Source organism: Homo sapiens, chromosome 16 (genome assembly GCF_000001405.40).
Source record: "Homo sapiens chromosome 16, GRCh38.p14 Primary Assembly".
Classification (NCBI taxonomy): domain Eukaryota; kingdom Metazoa; phylum Chordata; class Mammalia; order Primates; family Hominidae; genus Homo; species Homo sapiens.
The window spans coordinates 28,735,389-28,747,103 of NC_000016.10; the positions used below are offsets into that span (position 1 = coordinate 28,735,389).

At 52.1% G+C, this 11,715-nt stretch overlaps 1 protein-coding gene across 8 annotated transcripts in view, besides 2 other annotated features; it reads left to right on the plus strand.

Moving 5' to 3' along the window:
- Window positions 1-342, plus strand: part of EIF3C (eukaryotic translation initiation factor 3 subunit C) — a 47,173-nt gene extending 46,831 nt beyond the window's left edge. For 7 of the 8 annotated variants that reach the window (XM_047434828.1, XM_047434827.1, NM_001199142.1 and 4 more), the window contains one exon: window positions 43-342. In XM_047434828.1, the coding sequence (XP_047290784.1) occupies window positions 43-125 (83 nt within the window). In that variant the 3' untranslated portion in view covers window positions 126-342. The remainder of the gene's footprint in view (window positions 1-42) is intronic. The other variant, NM_003752.5, reaches the window with a different exon arrangement.
- Window positions 4,918-5,461: an enhancer, noted in NCBI's record as "H3K4me1 hESC enhancer chr16:28751627-28752170 (GRCh37/hg19 assembly coordinates)". NCBI's record gives its function as "activates a minimal SCP1, AML or CMV promoter by ChIP-STARR-seq in primed H9 embryonic stem cells {active_cell/tissue: H9 hESC(primed)}" and the evidence as "EXISTENCE:reporter gene assay evidence [ECO:0000049][PMID:30033119]".
- Window positions 5,462-6,004: an enhancer, noted in NCBI's record as "H3K4me1 hESC enhancer chr16:28752171-28752713 (GRCh37/hg19 assembly coordinates)". NCBI's record gives its function as "activates a minimal SCP1, AML or CMV promoter by ChIP-STARR-seq in primed H9 embryonic stem cells {active_cell/tissue: H9 hESC(primed)}" and the evidence as "EXISTENCE:reporter gene assay evidence [ECO:0000049][PMID:30033119]".

The window sequence follows — 11,715 nt, forward strand, 5'->3', positions numbered from 1 at the left end:
ACCTGGCATTCCCTGCCCTTCCTTCCCATCTCTCTCCTACAGACCAGAAGGACGGCTACCGCAAAAACGAGGGCTACATGCGCCGCGGTGGCTACCGCCAGCAGCAGTCTCAGACGGCCTACTGAGCTCTCCACTCTGTTTCCCGCCTGGGCCATCCAACCTTGAAGTCCTAAACCACACCTCAGTCACTAAAGGTCTGTTTAAAGTTGTTCTGGTTGATTGCTTGTTGCCACAAAGGTGTGTTGAGCCCATTCATTTGCTGATTATATTTCTGAGCTGCTACCACATGACAGACACAAGGCTCAGATGAAGAGGTGAATTGAACACGTTCCTGACCTCAAAGAGCCTGCTGCTTTTTGACATTTAACAGAAAATTATAGTAACATAAGTTATAATGGGTGTTTTAAAAGGCCAGTCGCAGTGGCTCACGCCTGTAATCCCAGCACTTTAGGAGGCCCAGGTGGGCAGATCACAAGGTTGGGAGTTTCAGACCAGCCTGGCCAACATAGTGAAACCCCCTCTCTACTAAAAATACAAAAATTAGCCGGGCATGGGGGCACATGCCTGTAGTCGCAGCCGCTTGGGAGGCTGAGGCAGGAGAATCGCTTGAACCCATGAGGTGGAGGTTGCAGTGAGCCAAGATCACACCACTGCTCTCCAGCCTGGGCAACAAAGCGAGACGCCGTTTTAAAAAGAAAGTCACAGATGTATTGAGGATGTGACCGGGGGTGGAACATCAGGAAGACATAGTGGAGACAGTAGTGACAGTTGGACCCTGAGGGTTCACCAGGCAGGGAGAAGGGAGAGCTGGTCCAGACCAGCGTGGATGCACTGTTACCTGTTCATAACAAGACAGGTGCCATCAGTAAGAGGGTGCATTGAGAGACTGGGCCTTTGCTCTGATATCTAAGCATGTGGTTATTTTCTGATCATTTAAGTTTATTGTGTTTTTTGTTTGCTTGTTTTTTGTTTGTTTGTTTTTGAGACAGAGTCTCACTCTGTCGCCCAGGCTGGAGTGCAGTGGCGCGAGCTCAGCTCACTGCAAGCTCCGCCTCCCGGGTTCACACCGTTCTCCTGCCTCAGCCTCCCAAGTAGCTGGGACTACAGGCGCCCAACACCACGCCTGGCTAAATTTTTGTATTTTTTTTTTTTTTTTAGTAGAGACGGGGTTTTGCCATGTTAGCCAGGATGGTCTCCATCTCCTGACCTCGTGATCCACCCGCCTCCACCTCCCAAAGTGCTGGGATTACAGGCGTGAGCCACCGCGCCCAGCCTTATTGTGTTTTACATAAGTATGGGTCCACAGTAGATTGTTTTTTTTTTTTAAGACATGGGATCTTGCTGTGTTGCCCAGGCTGGTCTTGAACTCCTGGACTCAAGCAATCCTCCCACCTCAGCCTTCTAAGTAACTGGGACTACAGGTATGCATCACCATGCCTGGTCTAGATTGGAAATTTTTTTTAAATGATCCTTTACCACATTTGAGAAGCACTGATGTAGGCAGAGGGAAAAAGTGCAAGCTCAAAGGGTTGGAGAAGTGAGATAGTGGCATGATTAGTGTAACGCAGGTGTGGAGCATGTGCAGGAGATGCACTGAAGACTTACCCGGGCCGTCTCTTAAAACTTTCAATGCTCTGGGTTTTTATAAACAAATTCACAGCTGGGGCTGGGCGCAGTGGCTCACACCTGAAATCCGAGCACTGTGGGAGGCCGAGGCAGGACGATCACTTGAGGCCAGTAGCAGGGCACAAAAATTTTTTTTTTTTTTTTTTTTTTTTTAGTATTTATTGATCATTCTTGGGTGTTTATCGGAGAGGGGGATTTGGCAGGGTCATAGGACAATAGTGGAGGGAAGGTCAGCAGATAAACGTGAACAAGGGTCTCTGGTTTTCCTAGGCAGAGGGCCCTGCGGCCTTCCGCAGCTTTTGTATCCCTGGGTACTTGAGATTAGGGAGTGGTGATGACTCTTAACGAGCATGCTGCCTTCAAGCATCTGTTTAACAAAGCACATCTTGCACCGCCCTTAATCCATTTAACCCTGAGTGGACACAGCATATGTTTCAGAGAGCACGGGGTTGGGGGTAAGGTTATAGATTAACAGCATCCCAAGGCAGAAGAATTTTTCTTAGTACAGAACAAAATGGAGTCTCCTATGTCTACTTCTTTCTACACACGCACAGTAACAATCTGATCTCTCTCTCTTTTCCCCACATTTCTCCCTTTTCTATTTGACAAAACCGCCATCGTCATCATGGCCCATTCTCAATGAGCTGTTGGGTACACCTCCCAGACGGGGTGGCGGCCGGGCAGAGGGGCTCCTCACCTCCCAGATGGGGCGGCCGGGCAGAGGTGCCCACCTCCCGGACGGGGTGGCGGCTGCGTGAGGGCTGCCCCCCACCTCCCTCCCGGACGGGGCGGCTGGCCGGGCGGGGGGGCTGACCCCCCCACCTCCCTCCCGGACGGGGCGGCTGGCCTGGAGGGGGCTTACCCCCACCTCCCTCCCGGACAGGGTGGCTGCCGGGCGGAGGGGCTCCTCACTTCTCAGACGGGGCGGTCGCCAGGCAGAGGGTCTCCTCACTTCTCAGACGGGGCGGCCGGGCAGAGACGCTCCTCACCTCCCAGACGGGGTCGCGGCCGGGCAGAGGCACTCCCCACATCTCAGACGATGGGCGGCCTGGCAGAGACGCTCCTCACATCCCAGACGATGGGCGGCCAGGCAGAGACGCTCCTCACTTCCCAGACGGGGTGGCGGCCGGGCAGAGGCTGCAATCTCGGCACTTTGGGAGGCCAAGGCAGGCGGTTGGGAGGTGGAGGTTGTAGCGAGCCGAGATCACGGCACTGCACTCCAGCCTGGGCACCATTGAGCACTGAGTGAACGAGACTCCGTCTGCAATCCCAGCACCTCGGGAGGCCGAGGCTGGTGGATCACTAGCGGTTAGGAGCTGGAGACCGGCCCGGCCAACACAGCGAAACCCCGTCTCCACCAAAAAAATACGAAAACCAGTCAGGCGTGGCGGCGCGCGCCTGCAATCACAGGCACTCGGCAGGCTGAGGCAGGAGAATGAGGCAGGGAGGTTGCAGTGAGCCAAGATGGCAGCAGTACAGTCCAGCTTCGGCTCGGCATCAGAGGGAGACCGTGGAAAGAGGGGGAGAGGGAGACTGTGGGGAGGGAGAGGGAGAGGGAGAGCCTGTTTCTAATAAATATACAAAATCAGCAAGGCATGGTGGCACGCACCTATAATCCCAGCTACTTGGGAGGGTGCAGCAGGAGAATCGCTTGAACCCAGGAGGCAGAGGTTGCAGTGAGCTGAGATCGTGCTATTGCACTCCAGCCTGGGCAACGAGAGTGAAACTCCATCTCAAAAAAAAAAAAAAAAAAACACGAAAATAAAACGGCATTTAGAGTTGAAAGCTTCGCCTTCCTCTCTGGATGGTGAGTCCTCACTCTCCCAGCAGCCCACACCTCTGCCTCAAACCTCCATAGCTCCCAAGAGTCTGGATAAAGCTAAGGAGTCTCAACGCACCCCAAGTCCTGGGGGTAGTCAACCCCTCTCACCCCTCCCTCATCCTCTCACACAAGAGTTGTTTACTGTTCCTCCAGTTATGCCTGGTCACGCAGACACTCTGCTGCTCAAGTGCCCTCACCCCATCCTCAGCCTGCTCCCAGGCCACCTCCCTCCAGAATCCACCCTGCCTGCCAGGTGGCCATAGGGACCCTCGCCATACTGTCTGCTTGTGGCAGTGCCCTCCGGCCTGGGGGGTCTTCCAGAGCAGATCTCTGGCCTAGTGCAGTGGCTCATGCCTGTAATCTCAGCACTTTCAGAGGCCAAGGCAGGTGGATCACCTGAGGTCAGGAGTTCGAGACCAGCCTTGCTAACATGGTGAAACCCCGTCTCTACTAAAAATACAAAAATTAGCCAGGTGTGGTGGTGCACGCCTGTAGTCCCAGCTACTCAGGAGGCTGAGGCAGGAGAATCTCTTGGACCCGGGAGGTGGAGGTTGCAGTGAGCTGAAATGGTGCCACTGCACTCCAGCCTGGGCAACAGTGAGACTGTCTTAAAAAAAAAAAAAAGATCTCTGATATAAGCTCCCCTGGCACACAGTGAGCTTCCAGAAATGGTCCCTCGACCTCTAAATCCACCAAGACCCAGGGAACACGCCCACTCTGAGCACCCTGACAATGTCCCAGTCCCAACACAGTACCCTGAAGCTGTCCCCAAAGTTTCCCCTGCCACACTCCCTGACCACACTCTGGTATCTCAGAGCCCTAGCAACAGCCCTATAGAGGGAGGGTTCTAGGTATGGGGCAGGCATGAGCACTGCTTATAACCAAGCAAAACACTCCCTCTGTGCCAACATAGGTGGGGCAGGTCACTCTGGGGTCTGTTTGCCCTGTCTGCCCGCTGCAGCCTCCTCGGGGAGGGCCAGGGTTGTCTGTGCATCCTGTGAGCCCCAGGGTCTATGTGCACATATGTGTGTCTGTGCTGCTCTGTGTGTGTGTGTGTGTGTGTGTGTGTGTGTGTGTATATACACGGCGCATCTGAATTGTCCTGAGTGCTGTCTCGGGTATCCTTGAGCTGTGTGTGCATGTGTCCCCCTAGCGGTATCTCAGTATTTTTGCCTGTGGGAGCTGCACACCGTGAGCTGCACACCTGAGGGCCAGGTGAGTCTGGGGCTGGTCCTGTGCCTGCGCATCTGTGTGCTGGCGGTGTCTGCATAGTATTCTGTGGCTACATGTATCTGTGCACCCCAGAAATGGGCAGTCACCCAGGAGACCTCTCTACAGTGACCCCAAATGATGGATAGTGAGATAGGGACAGTATGATCTATATTTTTTTTTTGGTCACAGGGGTTTGTTGTACAGGGGCACAATATATTCTTCTCCCACCCCCAAGCCGGGCCCTTTCTGCCCCTGCTCCTCCCACCCTCTGGTGTCTCACATCTCAGGGATAGGTGGAATGAAGGATAAGTTCGCGGACCCCAGATCAGGACAAGCGGGAAGCTTCCGGGCTGCTGGAGAGGGTCACAGCCGGTTAGGGGAGGGAGCCAGGAGAGGACTCTGTGGCCCCGGGGAAGGGCTGGGCTAGTTCTGGGTCCCTGGGAGGAGTGAGTTGGGGGCCCTGCAGAGGGCTGGGACCCAGAGTGTGGGTGAGCATTAGAAGAGCGAGCTGGGGGCTCTAGGGCAACTAGGAACTTGAAGAGGGATGGGAGGCAGGGCTGCTGGGTCCCTAGGAAGGGCTGGAGGAATCCCGGAACGCCTGAGTTCCGGGAAAGCCCCTTCCTCACTTACCCTCGCCGGACCTGGGGCCAGGTTCAAGCAGCAGCAGCAGCAGCAGCAGCTACGGGAGCCGCAGGAGCAGCTTGATTGGCAGGCGCACAGGTAGCGGCCCCATCGGAGGGTGGCAGAGGTGGGGCGGTGCTGCCGGGCCGCCGGAGGCAGCAAGCCCAGCGGACACACACCCTGGATGCCACGCCTCGGCCCGGCCCTCGACCTCACCTTCCCTCGGGGCCCAGGCGGAACCAGCTAGGGGTGGGCACCTGGGGTGGCGCAAAGGCATCCTGATCTCTGCATCTTGGTCACTGAAGGGGCTCGAGAGGCCGCGGGGCGCTGGGGACAGGACCGGGAGTCAGGCCCAGGAAAGTCTCCTCGGAATAAGGGAGGAAAAGGCGCTCTTTTGATGTTATTATTCCCCCAGCCCCTCCCCCGCTCACCTGGGCGCCCAAAGGGGACAGAAGACTTGGAGGAGGGGTAGTCCTGAATTTACTTTAGCATTTTATTTCATTTGGCCGGGTGCGAGGTGGCTCACGCCTGTAATCCCAGCACTTTGGAAGGCCGAGGCTGGCGGATCACCTGAGGTCAGGAGTTCAAAACCAGCCTGGCCAACATGGCGAAGCCGTCTCTACTAAAAACACAAAAATTAGCAGGGCGTGGTGGTGCGGACCTACAATCCCAGCTACTTGGGAGGCTGAGGCACAGGAATCGCTTGAACACGGAAGGTGGAGGTTGCAGTGAACCAAGATCACTCCACTGCACTCCAGCCTGGGTGAGAGCCAGACTCCGTCTCTTTCTCTTCCTCCCTCTCTCTCTCTCTCTGTCAGTCTAGAGAGAGTTGATTGTCCCCAGTCAGTCTCTCTCAGTCGAGAGAAGGGTGGGGGGGAACGGAGGCTGGGCACAGGGCTCACGCCTGTAATCCCAGCACTTTGGGACACTGAGGCGGGTGGATCACCTGAGGTCAGGAGTTTGAGACCAGCCTGGCCAACATGGTGAAACCCTGTCTCTACTAAAAATACAAAAAATTCCCTGGGTATGGTGTTGGGCGCCTATAAACCCAACTACTCAGGAGGCTGAGGCAGGAGAATCACTTGAACCTAGGAGGCAGAAATTGCAGTGAGCCAAGATCGCACCACTGCACTCCAGCCTGGGCAACAAGAGTAAAACCCTGTCACACACACACAGACACACACACACACACACACACACAAAATTAACCAGGCATGGTGGCATGTGCCTGTAGTCTCAGCGGCTCAGGAGGCTGAGGTACAAGAATCGCTTGAATTTGGGAGGTGAAGGTTGCAGTGATCCAAGATTGCGCTATTCCACTCCAGCTGGAGCGAGAAGACCGAGACTCCATATCAAAAAAAAAAAAAAGTCTGTCTCAAAAAAAAAAAAAAAAACAATAAAAACCAGAAGTCTTGATCTGTGATCTTGGGAAAAGCTGTTCACATCAAGGATGCCATCTTCTTCCAGTGAAAAACTTCCCTCTTGTGAGATTATGAACCCAAAGTTCAAGGTCCTGAAGTTCTGCTGTAGTGTGGATGGCAAGGACATTCTTTCTCTGATGTTCTCAGAAGATCCAATCTTCAGGTTCTAGATTGTGAAGGAATTGATTGTCCCCAGTCAGTGAGCCATAAAAAGCTTTCAGTATCTGGTGAAAATACACCATACCATAGATCTACTGTTATAATATCAGCCCTCTTGCATGGGAAAGCAACCAGAAAACATGCATTGAAAATGACAGTTGACAATTGAAATGTTCAAATTGCCCATGAGGTAGCCAAATGCACCTGAAGCTTTGATTGTCTTCCCAGGAACATGGATTTGACAAACGAAACATTGGTTATGAACTATTTTAGCAATTTATAAGTCAGCATAGAAATACATATTTAATTTGGATCATTTTATCTTTTCCATGATGAGTCATGGAATGCGGAGCCTTTTATTTTTTGTTTTTAGACAGAGTTTCATTCTTGTTGCCCAGGTTGGAGTGCAATGGTGCTATCTCGGCTCACCGCAACCTCTGCCTCCTGGGTTCAAGCGACTCTCCTGCCTCAGCCTCCCGAGTAGCTGGGATTACAGGCATGAGCCACCACGCCTGGCTAATTTTTTGTATTTTTAGTACAGATGGGGTTTCACCATGGTCTCGATCTCCTGACCTCGTGATCCACCCACCTTGGCCTCCCAAACTGCTGGGGTTACAGGCTTGAGCCACTGTGCCCGGCTTAATTTTTGTACTTTTAGTAGAGACACGGTTTCACCATGTTGGCCAGGATGGTCTCCATCTCTTGACCTCATGATCTGCCTGCATTGGCCTCCCAAAGTGTTGGGATTACAGGCATGAGCCACCACACCCGGCCCCCCTTTTTTTTGAGATGCAGTTTCGCTCTTGTTGCCCAGGCTGGAGTACAATGGCGTGATCTCAGCTCACTGCAACCTCCGCCTCCTGGCTTCAAGCAGTTCTCCTGCCTCAGCCTCCCAAGTAGCTAGGATTACAGGCATACCCCACCACACCTGGCTAATTTTGTATTTTTTTTTTTTTTTTAACTAGAGATGGGGTTCCACCATGTTGGTCAGGCTGGTCTTGAACTCTTGACCTCAAGTGATCCACTCACCTCGGCCTCCCAAAGTGTTAGGATTACAGGCGTGAGCCACTGCACCCGGCCAGCATTTTCTTATAGTAAAGAAAGTGAAACCACGGGTTGTTGAAAGAAGGAAGAAAGAGCGTGAATCTTGGTAGGAAAAAGAAGGAAAGCAAAAGGAAACAAAAGCTTCCAGCTGTCTGGCTTGTATTGGCATTTACAATGTTTGCTGGTGTCCCACTTTGATCAGTGAAATGTGGCTGGGAGGAACCCTGTGTCACTTTTTGTTTTTTCTTTTTGAGACTCACTCTGTAGCCCAGGCTGGAGTGCAGTGGCGCAATCTTGGCTCACTGCAAGCTCCGCCTCCTGGATTCTCACCATTCTCCTGCCTCAGCCTCCTGAGTAGCTGGGACTACAGGCGCCCGCCACAACGCCTGGCTAATTTTTGTGTTTTCAGTAGAGACGGGGTTTCACTGTGTTAGCCAGGATGATCTTGATCTCCTGACCTTGTGATCCGCCCGCCTCGGCCTCCCAAAGTGCTGGGATTACAGGCGTGAGCCACCACGCCCGGCCTGAACCCCTGTCATTTTTTAGCAGAAACTTTCAGAGTCAGTAAGTGGCCAGGCATTTCTCTTTTTTTTGTGCCACAGGACTCTGGATGTTTCCAATGCAGACTAATCCAAGGCTGCTGTGGATGTGTCCTATGGGAGAGAAATCGACTTTGTCTATTTCTCTATGGAGAATGGGGGGTGCACCAGGCAGGATGACTCATGCCTGTAATTCCAGCACTTTGGGAGCCCAAGGCTGGTGGATCACTTCAGGCCAGGAGTTCAAGACCAGCCTGGCTAACACAGTGAAACCCCGTCTCTACTAAAAATACAAAAATTAGCCAGGTGTGGTGGGGCATGCCTGTAATCCCAGCTACTCAGGAGGCTGAGGCAGGAAAATTGCTTGAACCAGGAGGTGGAGGTTGTAGTGAGCCAAGGTCACGCCACTGCCCTCCTGCCTGGGCAACAGAGCGAGATTCTTATCTCCATAAAATGAAACAAAGCAAAACAAAGGGAGAGAGAATGGAGGTTGCCTGTTACTGCATCATAATCTTGTTTATGCTGACTGATGCATTAGAGGTACTAATGGCATGAGAGGAACAATTTCCTGAGACACAGTTTACTGACCATGAATTTCCTCAAAACCCCAGAGAGCAGGCTTCTCAGGAGGAGACTCAGTGTGGAATCCCTTGCCAAGGTAGACCCTGGTTCTGTAGCAGGACGAGCCGCAGACAAATCTCCTCAAGACACCGGATTAAAGAAGGAAAAGGTTTATTTGGCCAGGAGCGTCAGCAGATTTGTGTCTTAAGACCCGAGCTCCCCGAAAAAGAAATTCTTGGCCTTTTTAAAGGCTTACAACTTTAAAGGGTCCACGTGAAAGTGTCGTGATAAATCGAGCAAGCATGGGGAAGGTGAGTGCGGGCTACATGCATCAGCTAACAGAACAGAAAGCTTTGCAATGCTTTTTCATACAAGGTCTGGAATTTACAGATAACACAAGTAGTTTAGGTCAGGGGTTGATGTCATTATTATTATTATTTTTAACTCCTGTGGCAGGTGGTGGTGCCAAGGTGTCTGGCTACTTATCTTACTTTTGTTTCTAAATTTTTGCTTTCTCTCTTTCCTCCTGTCTTGTGAACTAGGCAAGATGGTGGGAGGAGGGCAGCCGGAGTAGTAGTGGTCTCCTTCCTTAGTTCAGGTTCCAGCTACAAACACTTACCACCTGTGAGACCTTGGGCAGTTCACATCCCCTCTCTGTGGCTCAGTCTGCTCAACTGTAAAATAGGTTAAATCCTGAAAGATCAAAATCCCTCACATCTAAAATCTCAAAAATCACAGTCCCAAAGTGATCGTTCTTGTTGCCCAGGCTGAAGTGCAATGGTGCGATCTCAGCTCACTGCAACCTCCGCCTCCCAGGTTCAAGTGCTTCTCCTGCCTCAGCCTCACGAGTAGCTGGGATTACAGGTGTGCACCACCATGCCTGACTTATTTTTTGTCTTTTTAGTAGAGACAGGCTTTCACCCTGTTGCTCAGGCTGGTCTCAAACTCCGGACCTCAGAAGATCCACCTACTTCAGCTTCCCAAATTGCTGGGATTATAGGCATGAGCCATGGTGCCCGGCTCCTTATTTTATTTATTTATTTTTTTGAGTTTTGCTCTGTCACCCAGGCTGGATTGTAGTGGCACAATCTCAGCTCACTGAAACCTTCGCCTCCTGGGTTCAAGCAATTCTCTGTCTTGGCCTCCCGAGTAGCTGGAATTACAGGCGTCCGCCACTACGCTGGCTAATTTTTGCATTTTTAGTAGAGACGGGGTTTCATCATCTTGGCCAGGCTGGTCTTGAACTCCTGACCTCGTAATCCACCCGCCTAGGCCTCTCAAAGTGCTGTGATTACAGGCATGAGCCATTGTGTCTGACCCCTTACGTTTTTTAAAAACAACTTTATTGAAATAGAATTCACGTAGCATACAACTTCCCCATTTAAGGCATACAATTCAATGGCTTTTAGTATATTCACAAATCCTTTCTTTTTGTGTATATGTACCACATTTTCTTTGTCCATTCATCTGTTGATGGATACTTAGGTTGATTTTGTATTTTGGCTGTTTTGAATAGTGCTGCAATAAACATAGGAGTGCAGATGTGTCTTTGAGATACTGAGTTTCTTTCTTGTGGACTTATACCCAGCAGTGTGATTGCCGAATTATACGGTAGTTCTATTTTTAGCTTATTGAGGACCCTCCATGCAGTTTTCCATAGTGGATAAGCTATTTTACATTCCCACCGGCCAGGCGTGGTGGCTCACGCTGGTAATCCCAGCTCTTTGGGAGGCTGAGGCGGGAGAATAACGAGGTCAAGATATCAAAAGCATCCTGGCCAAAATGGTGAAACCCCATCTCTACTAAAAACACAAAAAATAGCTGGGCATGGTGGCAAACGCCTGTAGTCCCAGCTACTCGGGAGGCTGAGGCAGGAGAATGCTGGAACCCGGGAGGCGGAGGTTGCAGTGAGCCGAGATCCGCGCCATCGCACTACTCCAGCCTGGGCGACAGAGAGAGAGACTCTGTCTCAAAACAAACAAACAAAAAACATTCCCACCAAGAGTGTTTGAGTGCTCCTGTTTCTCTGCGTCCTTGTCAGCATTTGTTGTTTTCTGACTTTTTGATAGTCGCCATTTTAGTTGAGGTTAGATGAAATTTTACTGGGTTTTGATGTGCACTTCCGTGATGATTAGTGATGTTAAGTTTGCATATACCTGTTGGCCACTTGTATGTCTTCTGTTGGAAAATAGCCATTGAGATCTTTTGCCTTTTTTTTTTTTTTTTTTTTTTTTGCCAATGCTGTCGTTTATTGCGCGGAGTGGGGGCGTGGGGGTTAGTGGGGCGTGGGGGTCGTGATGGGGGCACTGCTGCCTCGGTTCGTCAGTACATTAATCACAGCGGCGGGACTCCAGCCTTTGCAGCCTCGCCCACGCGCCCTGCGCAGCCAGGACGGCCCGCCCCTCGGCGCAGGTGCTGGAGGGAGCTGGGGCACTGCTCCAGGAGGTCACCGCGGGACGCGCGTGGACGGCGGCTGGGCAGGTTATTGCGTGAGCACGGTGGGAGCAGCGGGAAGCCGGAGGGCCAAGTATTGCACTTAGAATAACAATCCTCATCAGACGGCGGGCTACCTAGAGGGCAGGGGGCGGGCAGGGCTCCACAGCCGGCTCCTCTCCGCCACTGGGTCGCCCTGTCCCTATCTTACAGCTGGGGAAACTGAGGCACCGAGGTGAAGGAAGCCCTCTCGCACGCGAGGCCGCCGCCAGGGGCA